Here is a 21,467-nt window from a genome sequence, read left to right on the forward strand (position 1 = left end):
CAGTCCATGTAGGTTCATTGTATTTAATCAAAATGTTCATCAATAGGGAATTATCTAATAAACTATTGTGATTCAACAAAATAGAATACTTTTAGCCATTTAAAACTATTAGAACACTAGTGAATTGAGTAACCTAAAAATGAATATTAAATATCCATAAGATATGCATAAATGTCTACATTTTTAAAGAGTCATAACATCTTCACTGGCTAATTCCAGTTAGCAGCCATATTTTCAAGTTGTGGTCAACTCATTTCTTCTCCCCTTGTTTTTAGGAATTCTTCTTTCTCCCTTATCCCCATTAGAAACTCAAATATACTGTTCAGTATGCAGAGAAATTTGGGAAACATTATCACATCTTAAAGGTTTCTATTTTAAGATATTTTCTTTAAAAAGTGAGCCAGCTACCTCAACAAAATGTTTATCATTCTTTTTAAAAGGTAGCAGTAACTCAACTGAATGTCATCTTAAATAGAAGTATGTTGTAATCCCTTTTAGAGATAAAGTGAATCTTTTTAGTCAATTTTGACTAAAGATAAATCAGACTGTCCTGAGAAGTCATGATAGTTCTGTCACCAAGTGTTGAAAAGAAGAACGACCAAATTACAAAGACGTAAGAGAGAAGATTCAAACTTTTTTGGAAGAATGCAATAAAACTTAACGTACATTTTAAGCCTGAGATTCCAAGATATTTATTTCATCTGCCAAACAATAAAGGGGTGATGAGTAAACAGACTGATTCTGAAAGTTTGTTTTGATTCACTTGTCTTAAAGACCGAAAATAACAAAGCAAACAATCAGTAATTGCCAATTAATTATTCATTTGGTTTTACAGTTGTAAACTTAAAAGAAGCCATGCAATGAAACATAAATTATTTGCCAATTTTGTTGAAATGTGGGAAATGAAGTGATGTTAAACAATTTGTGGGTAAATGGGAAAATGATCCTATAAATGATTACTATACTTAATATAGAGAGATTTGAAAATATTATATTGTGATTAAATCATTCTTAAATATCATCCATCCTACTTTTCAAGGCATGTCACATGAGATTAATAGTTCACATCCAGAGCCATGACCAAGACCTATATACTCCATCTTCTGAATGAGTTATTTCTCTGTAGCAATGCAAAAACAGACTAACATAGTAGGAAACTATTGCTTCTATCTTCTAGCAGTTTTCAATTTAATAGTAAAACTATTTTTAAATGAAACAGATCAATTATCAATCAATTAGAATGGTAGACATAATCGTGATCTCCCCTGCCCTCAATGGTCTCCATCCTAATCCCTGAAACCTGTGAATATGTCACAGTTAACAGGCAAAGGGTAATTCAGATGACAAATGATACTGATTGCTCATTGGATTATCTTAAAAACAGGATTATCCTGCATTATCTAGGAGGAGCCAAAATAATCACCAGGACTATTAAAAATGGAAGAGAGAGGCACAAGAATAGTCTGAGACAGACAGTTGGCTAATGTTGTTAACTTTGAAGATAGAGGAAGGGCCAAGAGCTAGAGTAATGATGAGGGTCTTTAGGAGCTGGAAAAGCAAAGGAAACAGATTGACTCAGAAGGGAGCTCAGACCAGGAATCACCTTGATATCATCTTAGTGAAAACAGGTTCAAACTTGTAACCTCTAGAACTGGAAATAATAAATTTGTGTTTTGTAAGCTGCTAAATTTTTAGTAATTATAACAGCAGCACCAAGAAATTAATACAACCATTTAATAATTTTAAAATGTAGGCAGTCCATTCGAGCTTGAAATATTTTTTCCTTTGTCCTTCACTCCCTCTTTCTCCTCTCTCTCTCTCCCTTTTTACCTTTACTGTGAAATGACAGATTGCCTTGGTTATTATTTACATGAACATGGCAATTTTATCCAACTTATGTGAAACACACCCACACAAGACCCCAAAGATGAAATTAGGAATAAAATTTATTTTTATATACTCCAGCAAGTTCCTTTTGAAGACAATGGTCAGCTTGATTAATTAATATACAGTTGACTTAAAACTAAAATAGTGCTTCTCAAATTGCAATAGACATTTAAAATTGCAGATGAAGATTATATTACTGTTTTACCAAATTGATTATAACATCAATCATTCATCTTAATCTCTTGCTCTGACATTGTTAGGCATATCTTAAGTTTCCAATTTACATAGCTACATCAAGATAAAGAGTTTCTCCAGGAGGAATTGTGATTTAGTTAAGAAAGTTACATATTTAATATTCAAATATGCTCATTCTTATTCACTTCTTTTTCCAGCACACTAAATAAATCTGCTTGAAATAACCTAGCTACAAAATAAATTGGATCCTAAAAGCCCATCTTCTTCTTATAGAAATTTCTATTAAGAACCTAAAGGTATTATATATACATTCATGTGATGACACAAATAAAGTAGAAATGAAGCTGACCAAAAGTTCCTTAAACTGATAAGCAACTTCAGCAATCTCAGGATACAAAATCTATGTGCAAAAATCACAAAAATTCCTATACACGAACAAAAGACAAGCAGAGAGCTAAATTATGAATGAACTCCCATTCACAACTGCTACAAAGAGAATAAAATACCAAGGAATACCACTAACAGGGGATGCGAAGGACTTCTTCAAGGAGAACTACAAACCACTGATAAATGAAATGAGAGGACACAAAGAAATGGGAAAACATTCCATCCTCATGCATAGTAAGAATCACTATTGTTGGCCAGGCGTGGTGGCTCACGCCTGCAATCCCAGCACTTTGGGAGGCCAAGGTGGGTGGTTCACAAGGTCGAGGTGGGTGGTTCACAAGGTCAGGAGATCAAGACCATCCTGGCTAACATGGTGAAACCCCGTCTTTACTAAAAATACAAAAAAATTAGCTGCGTATGGTGGCGGGCGCCTGTAGTCCCAGCTACTTGGGAGGCTGAGGCAGGAGAATGGCGTGAACCAGGGAGGCAGAGCTCGCAGTGAGCCGAGATCACGCCACTGCACTCCAGCCCAGGTGACAGAGAAAGATTCCGTCTCAAAAAAAAAAAAAAGAAGAAGAATCACTATTGTGAAAATGGCCACACTGCCCAAAGTAATTTACAGATTTAATGCTATTTCCATCAAACTACAATGGACATTCTTCATAGAATTAGAAAAAATACTTTAAAATTCATATGCAACCAGAAAAGAACCCTTATAGCCAAGACAATCCTAAGCAAAAAGGACAAAGCTGGAGGCATCACACTACCTGATTCCAAACTACCAGGCTACAGTAACCAAAATCACATGGTACTGGTACCATAACAGACATATAGACCAATGGAACACAATGGAGATACCAGAAGTAAGACCACACCTCTACATCCATCTGATCTTTGACAAACCTGACAAAAACAAGCAATGGGAAAAGGATTCCCTATTCAATAAATGGTTGGTGCTGGGAAAACTGGCGTGCCATATGCAGAAAACTGAAAACTGGATTTGTTCGTCACACATTACACAAAAATTAACTCAAGATAGATTAAAGACATAAATGTAAAACCCAAAACCATAAAAACCCTAGAAGAAAGGCTAGGCAATAACATTCAGGACATAGGCATGGGCAAAGATTTTATGGTGACATAGCCAAAAGCAATTAGAACAAAAGCTAAAATTGACAAATAGGATCTAATTAAACTAAAGAGCTTCTGCACAGCCAAAAGAAACCATCATCAGAGTGAACAGGCAACCTACAGAATGGGAGAAAATATTTGCAATCTACCCATTTGACAAATGTCTAACATCCCGAATTTACAAGGAACTTAAACAAATTTATAAGAGAAAACAACAATCCCATCAAAAAATGGGCAAAGGACATGAACAGACACTTCTCAAAAGAAGACATTTATTCAGCCAACAAACATATAACGAAAAAACTCAACATCACTGATTAGAGAAATGCAAATCAAAACCACAGTGAGATACCATATTATGCCAGTCAGAATGGCTATTATTAAAAAGTAAAAACAAAACAAAACAAAACAAGATGCTAGAGCAGCTGTGGAGAAATAGGAATACTTTTCCACTGTTGGGAATGAAAATTAGTGTAACAATTGTGGCAGACAGTGTAGCATTTCCTCAAGAATCTAGAAACAGAAATACCATTTGACCCAGCAATCCCATTACTGGGTATATATCCAAAGGAATACAAATCCATTCTGTTATAAAGATACACACACGTATGTTTACTGCAACACTATTGACAGTAGCAAAGACATGGAACCAACCCAAATGCCCATCAGTCATCAACTGGGTAAAGAAAATGTGGTGCATATACACCACGGAATACTATGCAGCCATAAAAGGGAATGAGATCATGTCGTTTGCAGGGACATGGATGAAGCTGTAAGCCATCATCCTCAGCAAACTAACACAGAAAATCAAACACCACATGTTCTCATTTATATATGGGAGCTGAACAATGAGAACACATGGACACAGGGAGGGGGACAACACACACTGGGGCCATCTGGGGGGTCAGGGGGAGGGAGAGCATCAGGACAAATACCTAATGCATGTGTGGCTTAATACCGAGGTGACAAGTTGATAGATGCAGCAAACCACCATGGCTTACCTATGTAAGGTAAGGTTTACATGGTTTACCTATGTAAGAAACCTGCACGTTCTGCACATGTATCCTGGGACTTAAAGTAAGATAAAATTAAAATAAATAAATAAATAAATGAGGCTGAATTATTATTGTCAGTGAGAAAGCATAGGTCTGGTTCCCGTTCTGCCACTGATAGCTGTGTGTATTTTCTATAAATCATTTAACCTGAGACCAGAGGTTACAGAGTAACAATAATAATACACATCCCCTAAATACTGAGGAGCAAATGAATTACTATAAATGACTGTGTTTTGTCAGTGGCAAAGCATATGCCAATATGTTACCAATCTCATCACTTTGATTAATTTTAATATTGTGATTTATTTATTCATTTTTATTTCTATTTATTTATTTTTTTGATACTGAGTCTCACTGTGTCACCCAGGCTGGAATGCAGTGGCACAATCTCGGCTCACTGCATCCTCCGCCTCCCGGGTTCATGCCATTAGCCTGCCTCAGCCTCCCGAGTAGCTGGGACTACAGGCACCCACTACCACACCAGGCTAATTTTTTGTATTTTTTAGTAGAGACATGGTTTCACCGTGTTAGCCAGGATGGACTTGATCTCCTGATCTTGTGCTCCACACGCCTCAGCCTCCCAAAGTGCTGGGATTACATGCATGAGCCACCGCGCCTGGCCTGTTTTAGAATTTTTTAACTTTTATTTTATAATTGGAGATACATGTGAAGGGTTATTACATAGGTAAACTCATGTCACAGGGGATTTTTGTACAAATTCTTTCATCACCCAGGTATTAAGCCCAGTACCCGATAATTATCTTTTCTGCTCTGCTCCCTCCTCCCAACCTCCCCCCGCATCAAGTAGACCAAAGTGTCTGTTGTTTCCTTCTTTGTATACATAAGTTCTTATCATTTAGCTCCCACTTATAAGTGAGAATATACGGTATTTGGTTTTCTGTTCCTGTGTTAGTTTGCTAAGGATAATAGCTATCATTAAACAGTCAAAAATAACAGATTCTGGCGAGGTTGTGGAGAAAAAAATGCTTATACACTGCTGGTGGGAGTGTAAACTATTTCAACCATTGTGGAAGACAGTGCTTCGATTCTACCACCATTAAAAAATGGGCAAATGACATAAACAGGCATTTTTCAAAGGCAGAGACATAAATGGCCAACAAGCCATTTGAAAACCATTTTTCAGCAAACCAACAAACCATGTTGAAAAAATGCTAAATGTCACTGATTATCAGAGAAATGCAAATTAAAATCACAATGAGATATCATTTTACACCGTTCGGAACAGCTACTATTAAAACTTGAAAATAACACATTGGTGAGGATGCAGATAAAAGGGAACGCTTATACACTGTTGGTGGAAGTGTAAATTACTACAACCTCTATGGAAAACAGTATGCAGATTTCTCAAAGAACTAAAAATAGAATTATTCTTCAGTCCAGCAATTCCAGTATTTGGTATCTACCTAAGGGAAAGTAAATCATTTTATCAAAAATACTTGTAACTACATGTTTACTGCAGCACTATTCACAATATCAAAATCATGGAATCAACCTAAGTGTCCATCAGTGAATGTCTGAATTTAAAAATGTGATAAAAATGTGATGTGTGTGTATATATACATATACACACACACACACACACCATTGACTACTACTACTCAGCCATAAAAAAAGAATAAAATCATGTATTTTGCAGTAACATGGATGGAACTGAAGGTGATCATCATAAATGTAATGATTCAGAAACAAAGTCAAAAACGACATATTCTCACTTCTAAGTGGGAGTTAAATAACAGCCATACAGAGTGGAATAATTGACAATAGAGACTCCAAAAGTGGACGGTGGAGAGGAGGATGAGGGATGAAATCCTACCTATTTGGTACAGTGTACACTTTTTAGGTTATATGAGTACGCTAAAAGCCCAGACTTCACCAATATGCAACACAGTCATGTAAAAAACCTTCTCTTGGGTCGGGCATGGTGGCTCATGCCTGTAATCCCAGCCCTTTGGAAGGCCGAGGTGGGTGGATCACCTGAGGTCAGGAGTTCAAGACCACCCTGGCCAACATGGTGAAACCCCTCTCTACTAAAAATACAAAAAAAAGCTGGGTGTGGTGGCAGGTGCCTGTACTCCCAGCTACTCAGGAGGCAGAGAGAAGAGAATTGCTTGAACCCAGGAGGCAGAGGTTACAATTAGCCAAGATCGTGCCATTGCACTCCAGCCTGGGTGACAGAGCGAGACTCCGTCTCAAAAAAAAAAAAAAAAAAAAAAAAAAAATCTGCTCTTGTACTCATAAATTTATAGAAATAAAAATTTGAAAAATAAGGAAGACTGAAAAATCCATAAACATGTAGAAATTAAACAATAGCCTCTTAACCAATGGGTAATGAAAGAAACCATAACACATTTAAAAAGAGACAAATGAAAACAAAAACACAACCTACCCAAAATTTTGCAACAAAGGCAGGGCTCAGAAGGAAATTTAAAAAGATAAGAACATCCATTATAAAAGAAGAAAGACTTCAACAATCTAACTTTATACCTTGAAGAAGAGAAGAGAAAACTAAACACAAATCAGTGTTTCTATACGTCATTAAAAAAAATCAAAAAAGACATTAAGAAAGTAATTCCATTGACAATAACATATAAAATAATATAATAATAGTTAGGAATAAATTTGACAAAAAAGGTTAACAGCCAAACCACTGAAAATGACAAAACATTGCCCAGAGAAATGAATAAAGACAGAAGTAACTGGAAACACATAACATGTCCATAGGTAAGAAGATTTAATATGGTTAAGCTGTCAGTGTTATCGCAAGTATTCTTCAGATTCAATGCAATCCTTATCAAAATCACAACAGCCATTTTGTGCAGATATGGAAAACGTGATCCCAAGTTCATATGAAATGATTATCAGTCAAAATAATCTTGAAAAAGGAAAACGAAGTCAAATAACTCACAGTTTCTGATTATAAAACTTAACACAAAACTACAGCAATCAAATCAGTGTGGAACTAGTATAAGGACAGACATGTAGGCCAATAGAATAAAATTGAAATTAAAAAGAAACTCACAAATATATGGCCAACTGATTTTTAAGAGTGCTAAGTCTATTCATGTATATAAACACACACACGCAATTTAATTACGGTGCAAAATAAGAATCTTGGTAGAAGCTAAACCTCTAAAATGAAAAAAAAAACAAATGATTCAAAATGTCAGAACTTTTCTCTTTTATCACTATATAATCAAAATATATTATTGTCAAAAATATGGAGATAAGAAAAAGAATCATAGCTGTTAAGAAAATATAGATAACAGTCCTTCCTTCCACGATGTGAGCAAGATAGCTGACTAGGGGTTCCTGCCATGTTTATTCCCACACACAAAAAAATGAATAAAACAACAAATAAATAAGCAGTTTTTGACTAGACTGCCTGAAGAAGAAGGCTAAAGTACAGCAAGTGAGTGGAGGTAACACAGGGGCTAAAAAGAAATTATTTAGGCAGATAGTGAGGGTAAGAGAGTCCTTGGTGGGATTTCCTTTTAATAAAAAGCAGCCACTAAATCATTTATTTTCTAACGAAAAACAGCTTGAAAAATCAAGCTGCAGACATAGGTATGCAAGCTGGATGCTTGCATAGGTAAATGCCAGCAGCTGTGCCAATAGAAAAAGGGACCGTACCTGGAAGGCAGGTATGTTTTTTCATAGAGGCTCTAGCTTCCCTTTTCTTTGTTGCCGTGTGTGCAGTAAGCAAGCAAGCAACATGGTGCCAGCCAGGTAGAGAATCCAGTTGCATAAAAAATATTAGGGTGGAGTAGCCAACTTCTTCAAATGCTATGTAAATGGCACAGCTAGTCCAGCCAATCCTTTGTGCCCTGTGTAAATCAGATACCACCTCCTCAAACTCATCTATAAAACCAGCTGCACCTAACCACGAATAGGGAGATCTGTTTGGAACGCTGTCCCTCTGCAGGAGGGATCTTTGATCTTTTGCCTATCAAACTTCTGCTCTTAAACTCACTCCTTGTGTGTCCACATCCTTGATTTCCTTGGAATGAAGCAACGAATCTCTAGTATTAACCCAGACAAAAGATGCCGCTTCAGAGGTATCTTGATGGAGTACAGAAATCCAGGGTGGCACCTTAAAGGGAGGAGCAAAGAACGCAGCCTTTGCCACATCATTTCCCTGTCAGGATCAGCTTGGAACCAAAAGGGACTTCTTGTAGACAGGTAAGCAGTAGGCCCCCAGAAATGCAGTTTGTTATTACCACTGCAAACACCTACAGTTCTTGGTTGACAAGTTGTTGTTGTTTTTGTTCTCCATAGAACTTTTAGCAATTTCTGTATGTTATTCCAATTGTATTCTGGCCTCTATGGTTCCTGATGACAAATTATTGATCTTATTGAGAATCTTTTATCTATGACAAGTTCCTTCTCTCTTGCTGCTTTATACATTCCCTTTTTGTCTTTGTTTTTGCCAGCTTGATTAAAAAGTGTCTTGTCTGACTATCTTTCAGTTTATCCTACATCATGTTTGTTAAGCTTCTTGGACAGGCATATGCACGTGTTTCATCAAATTTGTAATGTTTTAGGCCATTATTTCTTCAAATAAGCCATGAAACAGATAACATTTTAGTCAGCAACAGATAACATATATGACAGCGATCCCTTAATATTGTATTTTTATAGTACATTTTCTATGTTTACATACACAAATATTTACTACTGTGTGCAACTGCCTACAGTATTCAATACAGTGACATGCTGTACAGCTTTGTAACCTAGGAGCAGTAGGTTATTTTATATAGTCTAGGTGGATAGTAGGCTGTCCCATCTAGGGCTGTGTAAATACACTCTATGATGTTCACATAATGATGAAAACACTTGAGATGCATTTCTCAGGATGCATGCCTGTTGATAAGTAATGCATGATTGTATTTTGCCCCTTTCTTCTTATTTGACCTCCATGATACATATATTGGTCCATGTGATGGTGTCCCAGAGGTCCCTTAGCCTGTCTTCAACTTTCCTTATTCCTTTTTTTCATTTCTGCTCCTCAGACTCAGTAATTTTGCTTGGCCTGTCTTAAAGTTTGCTATTTTTTTCTTCTACCTGCTTAAATCTGCTACTGAGCTTGGCTAGTATATGTTCTATTTCAATTATTATAATGTTAAATACCAGCATTTCAGTTTTATTTTTGAATAAGTTTATTCCTCTTAAATAGGTAATATGTGTACACAACACATGATTGCAACAAAATACAAATTTCAAAGGCACAGAAGCATTTACAGTGACAACTACTTCTCTTTCCCATCCTTGTCTTCCAGCTATCCAAAGTCCTTTGTACCTAAGACAACCACCATTACTAATTTCTTGTATATCGTTACAGAAATCTTCTAAACAATACGTTCTGTTTGTTTTATACTTTCTATTTAACAATATTCTTATTTTGTTTATACATTATTTACTTCATGTTCCTTAGTTTTTGTCCATGTTTTTCTTTAGCTACTTGAACATATTTTAAATCGCTATTTTAAACTCTATTTATTAAATCCAGTGTCTGAATTTCTTCAGGGTTGGTTTCTGTCCATTTATCTTGTTCCTTTTAGTAGCCTTTTCATTTCTGTTTCTTTGTATGAATTGTGACTTTCTGTTGCAAACTGGGCATTTGAGTATTATAAAGTGGCAACTCTAAAATCAGATTCTGCCACCTTTTGCGAATTGTGCTGGTTTTTGTTGTTGTTGACACTTTTTTAAAATTGTAGGAATTTATTTGCTTAGTGACTTTTGTTAACTTTTTTCTAAAGACTGAAATTCGCTTTGTGTGCAGTCTCTGAACCTCTTTTCCTTGTGCTCAGCTAGTGTTTTGAGAAGATTTCCTTGAATGCTAGGAGCTGTAACAATAAAAAAAACAAGCACACAAACAAAACCAAAATGAATAAAAAAACCACGTTTCTCAGTTATTGCAGATTGGCTCTGTATTGGGGCACTCTTTCAACACTTAGCCAGGGGACTGAGCCTGGGGATCAGCCCAAGGTGAAAACTTAAAGTGACTTCAGTTCTTTTGTGAACATGTATCTTGCCCTAAGCATATGTGCAGCTTTCTCAATCGCCCACCCCGTACACATGTGATTCTGAACGTCCCAATTTCCCAGAGAAATTCTCCACAATGTTTGCTCCTGATCCATTAATGCATCTATTTTATATTTTCCATTTAATCTTTTAACCTAACATCTGTCTGTCATTAATTCAGCTTGCATTGTTTTTTGAGCAATTCCATTCCATTTTCCAGGAAGATTTTATGGCTAGAGTTCTGAGACAGATGAAACAGAGAAGAGCATCTTTTCTTTCACGTAGTCTCCAGACAGGTTACAAGAGACACATACAATAATTTGTGCATAAGGTCTTCTCTGCTTCCTCTGGAACCAGGGGCCAGGACTCTGTTCTAAGAACACTAATTGTTGGTGTCTGAAGACTGCCATAGAGCCAGGAACAGGATTGGGTAGGACAAGTAAAAAACTCCTCAAAGATTTTTACCATTTTGAAGTCACTTTTTTACTATTTTTTTTAATCAGTGTTTACTTGGTTGCTGTAAACCTTTGACTCTTTTTCTGAGTTTTGACAAAATTACTTTTGACAGTTTCTGCTTTTTTTTTAATGCTTCTTTAGGAGGATGAAAGCTTGGAGCTGCTGCTCCATCATTTCGCTCATATTAACCTCAACATGTATTTTAAAATTACCACTACATTATACTGCACTCCAGTTTTGTGTAACTTATTTCCCTTTTCCAACATTGACTACTTAATAAATATATTTAGGTACTATGCCACCAGAACATTTATTTCCTCAGGCTGTGTGTATTGCAATTTTACTTCCTATTTCAAATTGATCCACCAGAATTCAGTACATGAATATGCATCAGAATATGATAGAATCCAATACATTATGATGTATAAAAATGTTATTTCACATGTGTGAGGTACAGCTACAGGTTATGTTATACGAGCATAACAATTGACAAATATCTATTTTACATTTACATTTGTATACACTGCATTTTCAAACATATTCTTGACAGGAGAAAACTTCCATTTTCACTAGGCACAATTAGATATTAGATAATAGATATGTGAAATTTTACAAATTCAATAATTAGAATATTTTCCATAAACTAGTACCTCATCAAATAATTTTTGTCCTCCAGAACATACACACTTTCAGAGCCAGTACATGTATCATGATGCAGGGAAAGGCAGCCTAATGGCCTGTAGAAGTATTCAAGCAAGTAATTCTATACTATGAAGGCTAAAGATGACAGGTATGAATGAAAGTGAACATATGAATATATTTGACTATATCTCAATATATGTGTCATTCAAATTAACTGTGCCTGTAATTTCCTGTGTCTGAGGAAATTGGCATAGAAAGTAATAGAATTCTTAAATATTTGAGTTACTGTATGTTATTTTGCACCACTTAAAAAATATATCAGAGCCACAACAAATTGTCAGGGCTCTCAAATTTAAGCACTGTTCGCTTCTTGGTAAATCCTCTTTACCTATGTGGGAAAAAATACCATGAGCAGGTGTTAGCTCTCAGCCTATCTGTATAGGCTGCCGCAAAGACTTCGTTTTCTCTGTGTCCTGATTTCACATTTCTGTTTTTTTAAATCAGGGTTTGGCAAATTGGCCCATGATCCATACCAAGTTCTCCACCTGTTGTTGCCTGGCTTGTGAGCTCAGAATGGTTTTTACTGTTTGATATGTTTTTTAAAAACATGACAGATATAATAGTTCATGATGAGAATGTTAAATTAAAACTTTAACATAAATTATTATGTTATTATTGAAACACACAGTAGCGTATCCACTTACATACTGTCTATAGATACCTTCACACTATCACGGCAGAATGGAGTAGTTAAAACAGAGTGTATGGTCAAAATTGCTTAAAATATTTATTGTCTAACCTTTTAAAGAAAAAGCAACCACCACCCAGATCATAAATTCTACATTAACAGGATAAATTCCATTACGCTTTCTACTGTGTTTCCTAGAATATAATAGAGTACTAGGCATATAGTGGGTATTCAGTAATTTTGTTTAAATGAATAAATAATAAAATAAATTCAAAGCTTTTTCACCTGTGTAACAAAATAATATTTTGAATTATTTCACTTTTTCTCCTTCACTATCTCTTCCTTTCTTCTTGTTTATAATTATCTTCTTTCTTTAAAGGGGCTGATGTGATAGGAAGAAAGCAGAAATATCATAGGCATGCCTAACTTGTTTCTAAGGTGGGGGAAAATACTGGAGAGTTATGTGGCTTTGAAGAATACAAAAGAAGTAAGAGGATAACAGGGCTTTCTCCCAGATGAGTGAATGACTATCTTGAGTAGTCATGGGCATAGATGGGTATAGTAATCTGAAGAAAGACTGAAGAAAATGTAGAAAAAAATGAAAAAAATCTCACAAAATGCAAACTATTAAAACTCAATCGACATGAAATAAACAATCTGAATAGTCCTGTAACTGTTAAAGAACTTGAATTTGTAACTGAATTGCTTCCAAAAAAAGTCTTCAAACACAGATAGTTTTACTGGAGAATTCTACCAAACATCTAAAAAATGAGTTAGCACCAATTTTACATATCTTCCAAAAAACAGAAGAGGATAAAATACTAACTAGTTTTATACTAACTAGTTTTATGAGATTGGTAGTACCCTGATACCAAAATCAGACCAAAAAACAGTATTAAAGCCAAAATACTATAGACCCTGGAGAATTCTACAAAACGTTTATAAAAGGAGTTAGCACCAATTTTACATATCTTACAAAAAATAGAAGAGGATAAAATACTAACTAGTTTTATGAGATTGGTAGTACCCTCATACCCAAACCAGACCAAAAAAATAGTATAAAGCCGAAAAACTATAGACCAATATTGCACATATAATTACACAGAGAAATCCTCAACAAACTATTAGCAAATAAAATCTAGCAATAGATAAAAAGCACTACATACCACAGCCAAAATATGAAATGCTCTTCAAACACTAAAGAATCAACTGGATGATGGTTCCAAGATGGCCGAAAAGGAAAAACTCCAGTCTACAGCTCCCAGTGTGAGTGACGCAGAAGACAGGTGATTTCTGCATTTCCAACTGAGGTACCGGGTTAATCTCACTGGGACTGCGTGGACAGTGGGTGCAGCCCATGAAGTGTGAGCCGAAGCAGGGTGGGGCATCACCTTACACAGGAAGCTCAAGGGGTCAGAGAATTCCCTTTCCTAGCCAAGGGAAGCAGTGACAGATGGTACCTTGAAAATTGGGACACTCCTGCCCTAATACTGCGCTTTTCCAATGGTCTTAGCAAATGGCACACCAGTACATTATATCCCACACCTGGCTCAGTGAGTTCCACACCCAAAGAGCCTTGCTCACTGCTAGCACAGCAGTCCCAGATCAAACTGCGAGGTGGCAGCGAGGCTGGGGGAGGGGCTTCCACCATTGCTGAGGCTTGACTAGGTAAACAAAGCTGCCAGGAAGCTCCAACTGGATGCAGCCCACCACAGCTCAATGAGGCCTGCCTGCCTCCATAGACTCCACCTCTGGGGGCAGGACATAGCTGAACAAAAGGCAGCAGAAACTTCTGCAGACTTAAATGTCCCTGTCTGACAGCTTTGAAAAGAGCAGTGGTTCTCCCACCATGGAGTTTGAGATCTGAGAATGGACAGACTGCCTCCTCAAGTGGGTCCCCGACCCCTCAGTAGTCTAAATGGGAAACACTTCCCAGAAGGGCCGACTGACACCTCATACAGCAGGTGCCCCTCTGAGACGAAGCTTACAGAGGAAGGATTAGGCAGCAACATTTGTCGTTCTGCAATATTTGCTGTTCTGCAGCCTCTACTGGTGATACCAAGGCAAACAGGGACTGGGGTGGACCTCCACTAAACTCCAACAGACCTGCAGCTATGGGTCCTGACTGTTAGAAGGAAAACCAACAAACAGAAAGAAAGAGCATCAGCATCAACAAAAAGGACATCCACACCAAAACCTCATCTATTGGTCACCATCATTAAAGACCAAAGGTAGGTAGATAAAACTACAAAGATGGGGAGAAACCAGAGCAGAAAAGCTGAAAATTTAAAAAACCAGAGCACCTCTTCTCCTCCAAAGATCGCAGCTCCTCGCAAGCAACGGAACAAAGATGGGCGGAGAATGACTTTGTCAAGTTGACAGAAGTAGGCTTCAGAAGATCAGTAATAACAAACTCCTCCGAGCTAAAGGAGGATGTTCAAACCCATCACAAAGAAGCTAAAAACCTTGAAAAAATGTTAGATGAATGGCTAACTAGAATAAACAGTGTAGAGAAGGCCTTAAATGACCTGATGGAGCTGAAACAATGGCATGAGAACTATGTGATGCATGCACAAGCTTCTGTAGATGATTCAATCAAGTGGAAAAAAGGGTATCAGTGATTGAAAACCAAATAAATGACATGAAGTGAGAAGAGAAGTTTAGAGAAAAAAAGAGTAAAAAGAAATGAACAAAGCCTCCAAGAAATATGGGACTTTGTGAAAAGACCAAATCTACGTCTGATTGGTGTACCTAAAAGTGATGGGGAGAATGGACCCAAGTTGGAAAACACTCTTCAGGATATTATCCAGGAGAACTTCCCCAATCTAGCAAGGCAGACCAACATTGAAATTCAGGAAATACAGAGAACGCCACAAAGATACTCCTCAAGAAGAGCAACCCCAAGACACATAATTGTCAGATTCACCAAAGTTGAAATGAAGGAAAAAATATTAAGGGCAGCCAGAGAGAAAGGTCAGGTTACCCACAAAGGGAAGCCCATCAGACTAACAGCAGACCTCTCAGCAGAAATTCTACAAGCCAGAAGAGAGTGGGGGCCAATATGCAACATTCTTAAAGAAAAGAATTTTCAACCCAGAATTTCATATCCAGCCAAACTAAGCTTCATAAGTGAAGGAGAAATGAAATCCTTTACAGACAAGCAAATGCTGACAGATTTTGTCACCACCAGGCCTGCCTTACAAGAGCTCCTGAAGGAAGCACTCAACATGGAAAGGAACAACCAGTACCAGCCACTACAAAAACATGCCAAATTGTAAAGACCATCGAGGCTAGGAAGAAACTGCATCAACTAACGAGCAAAATAATCAGCTAACATTATAATGACAGGATCAAATTCAAACATAACATAACAATATTAACCTTAAATGTAAATGGGCTAAATGCCCCAATTAACAGACAAAGATTGTCAAACTGGATAAAGAGTCAAGACCCATCAGTGTGCTGTATTCAGGAGATCCATCTCACGTGCAGAGACACACATAGGCTCAAAATAAAGGGATGGAGGAAGATCTACCAAGCAAAGGGAAAACAAAAAAAAAAAAAGGGGGGGTTGCATTTCTAGTCTCTGATAAAATGGACTTCAAACCAACAAAGATCAAAAGAGACAAAGAAGGGCATTACATAATGGTAAAGGGATCAATTCAACAAGAAGAGCTAACTATCCTAAATATATATGCACCCAATACAGGAGCACCCAGATTCATAAAGCAAGTTCTTACACACCTACAAAGAAACTAAAACTCTCACACGATAATAATGGGAGATTTTAACACCCCACTGTAAACATTAGACAGATCAATGAGACAGAAAGTTAACAAGGATATCCCGGACTTGAACTCAGCTCTGCACCAAGCGGACCTAATAGACATCTACAGAACTCTCCACCCCAAATCAACAGAATAAACATTCTTCTAAGCACCAAATCGCACTTATTCCAAAACTGACCACATAGCCGAAAGTATAGCACTCCTCAGCAAATGTAAAAGAACAGAAATCATAACAAACTGTCTCTCAGACCACAGTGCAATCAAATTAGAACTCAGGATTAAGAAACTCATTCAAAACTGCACAATTACGTGGAAACTGAACAACCTGCTCCTGAATGACTACTGGGTAAATCATGAAATGAAGGCAGAAATAAAGATGTTCTTTGAAACCAATGAGAAAAAAAAGACATAACATATCAGAATCACTGGGACACATTTAAAGCAGTGTGTAGAGGGAAATTTATAGCACTAAAAGCCTACAAGAGAAAGCAGGAAAGATCTAAAATTGACATCCTAACGTCACAATTAAAAGAACTAGAGAAGCAAGAGCAAACACATTCCAAAGCTAGCAGAAGGCAAGAAATAACTAAGATCAGAGCAGAGCTGAAGGAGATAGACACACAAAAAACCCTTCAAAAAATCAATGAATCCAGGAGCTGGCTTTTGAAATGATTAACAAAATAGGTAGACTGCTAGCAAGACTAATAAAGAAGAAAAGAAGAATCACATAGATGCAATAAAAAATGATAAAGGGGATATCACCACTGATCGCACAGTAATACAAACTACCATCAAAGAATACTATAAACACCTCTACACAAATAAACTAGAAAATCTAGAAGAAAATGATGAATTCCTGGACACATACACCCTCGCAAGACTAAACCAGGAAGAAGTTGAATCCCTGAATAGACTAAAAACAGCCTCTGAAATTGAGGCAATAATAGCCTACCAACCAAAAAAAGTCCAGGACTTCATGGATTCACAGCCAAACACTACCAGAGGTACAAAGAGAAGCTGGTACCATTCCTTCTGAAACTATTCCAATCAATAGAAAAAGAGGGAATCCTCCCTAACTCATGTTATGAGGCCAGCATCATCCTGACACCAAAGCCTGGCAGAGACACAACAAAAAAACAGAATTTTAGATCAATATCCCTGATAAACATCGATGCAAAAATCCTCAATAAAATACTGGCAAACCAAATCCAGCAGCACCTCCAAAAGCTTAGCCACCAAGATCAAATTTGCTTTATCCCTGGGATGCAAGGCTGGTTCAACATATGCAAATCAATAGACGTAACAGAACCAAAGATCAAAACCACATGATTGTTTCAATAGATGCAGAAAATACCTTCGACAAAATTCAACAACCTTCATGCTAAAAACTGTCAATAAACTAGGTATTGATGGAACGTATCTCAAAATAATAAGAGCTATTTATGACAAACCCATAGCCAATATCATACTGAATGGGCAAAAACTGGAAGCATTCCCTTTGAAAACTGGCACAAGACAAGGATGCCCTTCCACCACTCATATTCAACATACTGTTGAAAGTTCTGGCCAGGGAAATCAGGCAGGAGAAAGAAAGAAAGGGTATTCAATTAGGAAAAGAGGAAGTCAAACTGTCCCTGTTTGCAGATGACATGATTGTATATCTAGAAAACCCCATCATCTCAGCCCAAAATCTCCTTAAGCTGATAAGCAACTTCAGCAAAGTCTCAGGATACAAAATCAATGTACAAAAATCACAAGCATTCTTATACATCAATAACAGACAAACAGAGAGCAAAATAGTGAGTGAACTCTCATTCACAACTGCTTCAAAGAGAATAAAATACCTAGGAATCCAACTTATAAGGGATGTGAAAGACCTCTTCAAGGAGAACTACAAACCACTGCTCAACAAGATAAAAGAGGAAACAAACAAATGGAAGAACATTCCATGCTCATGGATAGGAAGAATCAATATCATGAAAATGGCCATACTGCCCAAGGTAATTTATAGATTCAATGCCATCCCCATCAAGCTACCAATGCCTTTCTTCACAGAATTGGAAAAAAACTACTTTAAAATTCATATGGAACCAAAAAAGAGCCCGCATAGCCAAGACAATCCTAAGCAAAAAGAACAACACTGGAGGCATAATGCTACCTGACTTCAAACTATACTACAAGCCTACAGTAACCAAAGCAGCATGTTACTGGTACCAAAACTGATCTATAGACCAATGGAACAGGACAGAGCCCTCAGAAATAATACCGCACACCTACAACCATCTGATCTTTGACAAACTTGACAAAAACAAGCAATGGGGAAAGGATTCCCTATTTAATAAATGGTGCTGGGAAAACTGGCTAGCCATATGTAGAAAGCTGAAACTGGATTCCTTCGTTACACCTTGTACAAAAATTAATTCAAGATGGATTAAAGATTCAAATGTTAGACCTAAAACCATAAAAACCCTAGAAGGAAACCTATACCATTCAGGACACAGGCATGGGCAAGAACTTCAGGACTAAAACACCAAAAGCAATCACAACAAGAGCCAAAATAGACAAATGTGATCTGATTAAACTAAAGAGCTTCTGCACAGCAAAAGAAACTACCATCAGAGTGAAAAGGCAACCTACAGAATGGAAGAAAATTTCTGTAATCAATCCATCTGACAAAGGACTACTATCCAGAATCTACAAAGAACTTAAACAAATTACAGGAAAAATCAAACAACCCCATCAAAAACTGGGCAAAGGATATGAACAGACACTTCTCAAAAGAAGACATTTATGCAGCCAACAGACACATGCAAAAAGGCTCATCATCACTGGCCATCAGAGAAATGCAAATAAAAACCACAATGAGATACCATCTTACACCAGTTAGAATGGCGATCATTAAAAAGTCGGGAAACAACAGATGCTGGAGAGGATGTGGAGAAATAGGAACACTTTTCCACTGTTGATGGGAGTGTAAACTACTTCAACCATTGTGGAAGAGAGTGTGGCAATTCCTCAAGGATCTAGAACTAGAAAAACCATTTGACCCAGCCATCCCATTACTGGGTATATACCCAAAAGATTATAAAACATGTTGCTATAAAGACACATGCACACGTATGTTTATTGTGGCACTATTCACAATAGCCAAGACTTGGAACCAACCAAAATGTCCAACAATGATAGACTGGATTAAGAAAATGTGGCACATATACACCATGGAATACTCTGCAGTCATAAAAAATGGATAAGTTCATGTCCTTTGTAGGCACATGGATGAAGCTGGAAACCATCATACTGAGCAAACTATCGCAAGGACAGAAAACCAAACACCGCATGTTCTCACTCATAGGTGGGAATTGAACAATGAGAGCACTTGGACACAGGGTGGGGAACATCACACACCAGGGCCTGTCGAGGGGTGGAGGCATGGGGGAGGGATAGCACTGGGAGAAGTGCCTAATGTAAATGACGAGTTAAGGGGTGCAGCACACCAACATGGCACATGTATACATATGTAGCATACCTGCCCATTGTGCAGATGTACCCTGGAACTTAGAGTATAATAAAAATTTAAAAAAAAAGAAATATGAAAACACATACACACAAATTTTTTTTCTAAGAACAAAATTCTAACAGGAACAGGAGGGGAGCTGGGCTGGCTCTAAAGTGTTCCCACCATAATGTGGAAAATACACACATGATGATATATTTGATTACTAAGATCCCATTAGGCCCATTTAGGCACTTTATGTATTTCCTTTGCTCTGGACGTTGAGTCGTTTTCTGCTCAGTTTGAAGCAACTGGCTTATTGTCTCAGAGTGGTTCTAGAACTTTGCTTTCAGGTGTGGCTGGGGAGGGAGCCCTGGCATTTCAAGACAGGTGGAGGTGATATGGTTGGACTCTGTGTTCCCACCCAAATCTCATGTTGAAATGTAACTCCCAATGCTGGAGATGGGCCTGGTGGGAGGTGACGAGGCCATGGAGGTGGCTTCTCATGGTCTAGCACCATCCCCCAGGTGCTGTCATCCCTGTTGTGAGTTCTTGTGAGATCTGGTTGTTTAAAAGTGTGTGGCACCTCTCCCCTTGCTCTCTTCCTCCTGCCCCAGCCATGTAAGATGTGCCAGCCTCTCCTGTGCCTTCTCCCATGATCATAAGTTTCCTGAGACCTCCCTAGAAGCAGAAGCCAGTATGCTTCCTGTATAGCCTGTGGAACCGTGAGCCAATAAAACGTTTTTCTTTATAAATTAAAAAAAAAAAAAGAATCAACCAACATAAGCCCCTGTGTCAATAGGCTAAAAAAGAAAAATCATATGATTATATCAATTGATGCAGAATAGCATTTGGTGCTTAATATAACGCCAATTCAAATAATAAAAATATCTCAGGAAACTAGAAATAAAGGAGACCTTTCTCTATTTGACAAAGAACGTATTTTTAAAAACCTATAGCAAACATTGTACGTAATGATGAAAGACTGGATGAGTTCTCTCTAAGATTGCAGACAGGGCAATGGTGTCCAATCACATCATTCCCTTACTAAAATAGCACTTGGATTTCTAACCATTTTTGTATAGCAGGAAAAAGAAATAAAATACATACAGGTTAAAAAGGAAGAAATAAAATTTTCTCTATTTGAAAATGACATTATTGTCTACATAGAAAATCCCAAGGAATGTGAAAACAATTTTCTATAACTCATAAATGCAGTCAGTAAAGTCAGAAGGTCAGAGGATATAAGAACACATTAGAAATCATTTACTTTTATATATTAATAATAAGCCTGTAGAAACAAAATTCTGAAACACCATATTGGAGGTAGAGCAAGATAGCAGACATGTAGGCTCCACCAATCATCCCCTACTGCAAGGGCACCAATTTAAGAACTATCTACATAGAAAAATCACCTTCATAAGAACCAAAAATCATATGAGCACTCATAGTCGCTGATTTAACTGTGTATGGCTGAAAGAGGCATGAAGAGATAAAGAGCCCTAAATGGTCAATGCCACCCTTCCCCTCTACACCCCACCCTCCCTACATCTCTGCAGCAGTAGTAAGGAGAGGAGAATGACTCTCAGTGCTGGGTGAGGGATAACACGGCAATTGTGAGGCATTGGACTCAGTAGTGTCCTGTTAGAGCAGAAGGTAAAACTGCATGAAACTCAGCTGATGCCCATCCACAGGGGAAACAT

At 37.4% G+C, this 21,467-nt stretch overlaps 1 protein-coding gene across 4 annotated transcripts in view, besides 2 other annotated features; it reads right to left on the reverse strand.

The window, feature by feature from the left end:
* The window catches only part of SGCZ (sarcoglycan zeta), a 1,153,587-nt gene that overhangs the window by 37,634 nt on the left and 1,094,486 nt on the right, over positions 1-21,467 (reverse strand). The window lies entirely within an intron of this gene.
* Positions 292-461: an enhancer, noted in NCBI's record as "experimental_101789 CRE fragment used in MPRA reporter constructs". NCBI's record gives its function as "activates a minimal promoter by MPRAs in K562 erythroleukemia cells, with activity observed for the introgressed 8:13980364 variant allele {active_cell/tissue: K562}" and the evidence as "EXISTENCE:reporter gene assay evidence [ECO:0000049][PMID:34662402]".
* Positions 16,378-16,547: an enhancer, noted in NCBI's record as "experimental_101818 CRE fragment used in MPRA reporter constructs". NCBI's record gives its function as "activates a minimal promoter by MPRAs in K562 erythroleukemia cells, with activity observed for both the introgressed and non-introgressed 8:13996450 variant alleles {active_cell/tissue: K562}" and the evidence as "EXISTENCE:reporter gene assay evidence [ECO:0000049][PMID:34662402]".

Source organism: Homo sapiens, chromosome 8 (genome assembly GCF_000001405.40).
Source record: "Homo sapiens chromosome 8, GRCh38.p14 Primary Assembly".
In the NCBI taxonomy this organism is placed as follows: Eukaryota; Metazoa; Chordata; class Mammalia; order Primates; family Hominidae; genus Homo; species Homo sapiens.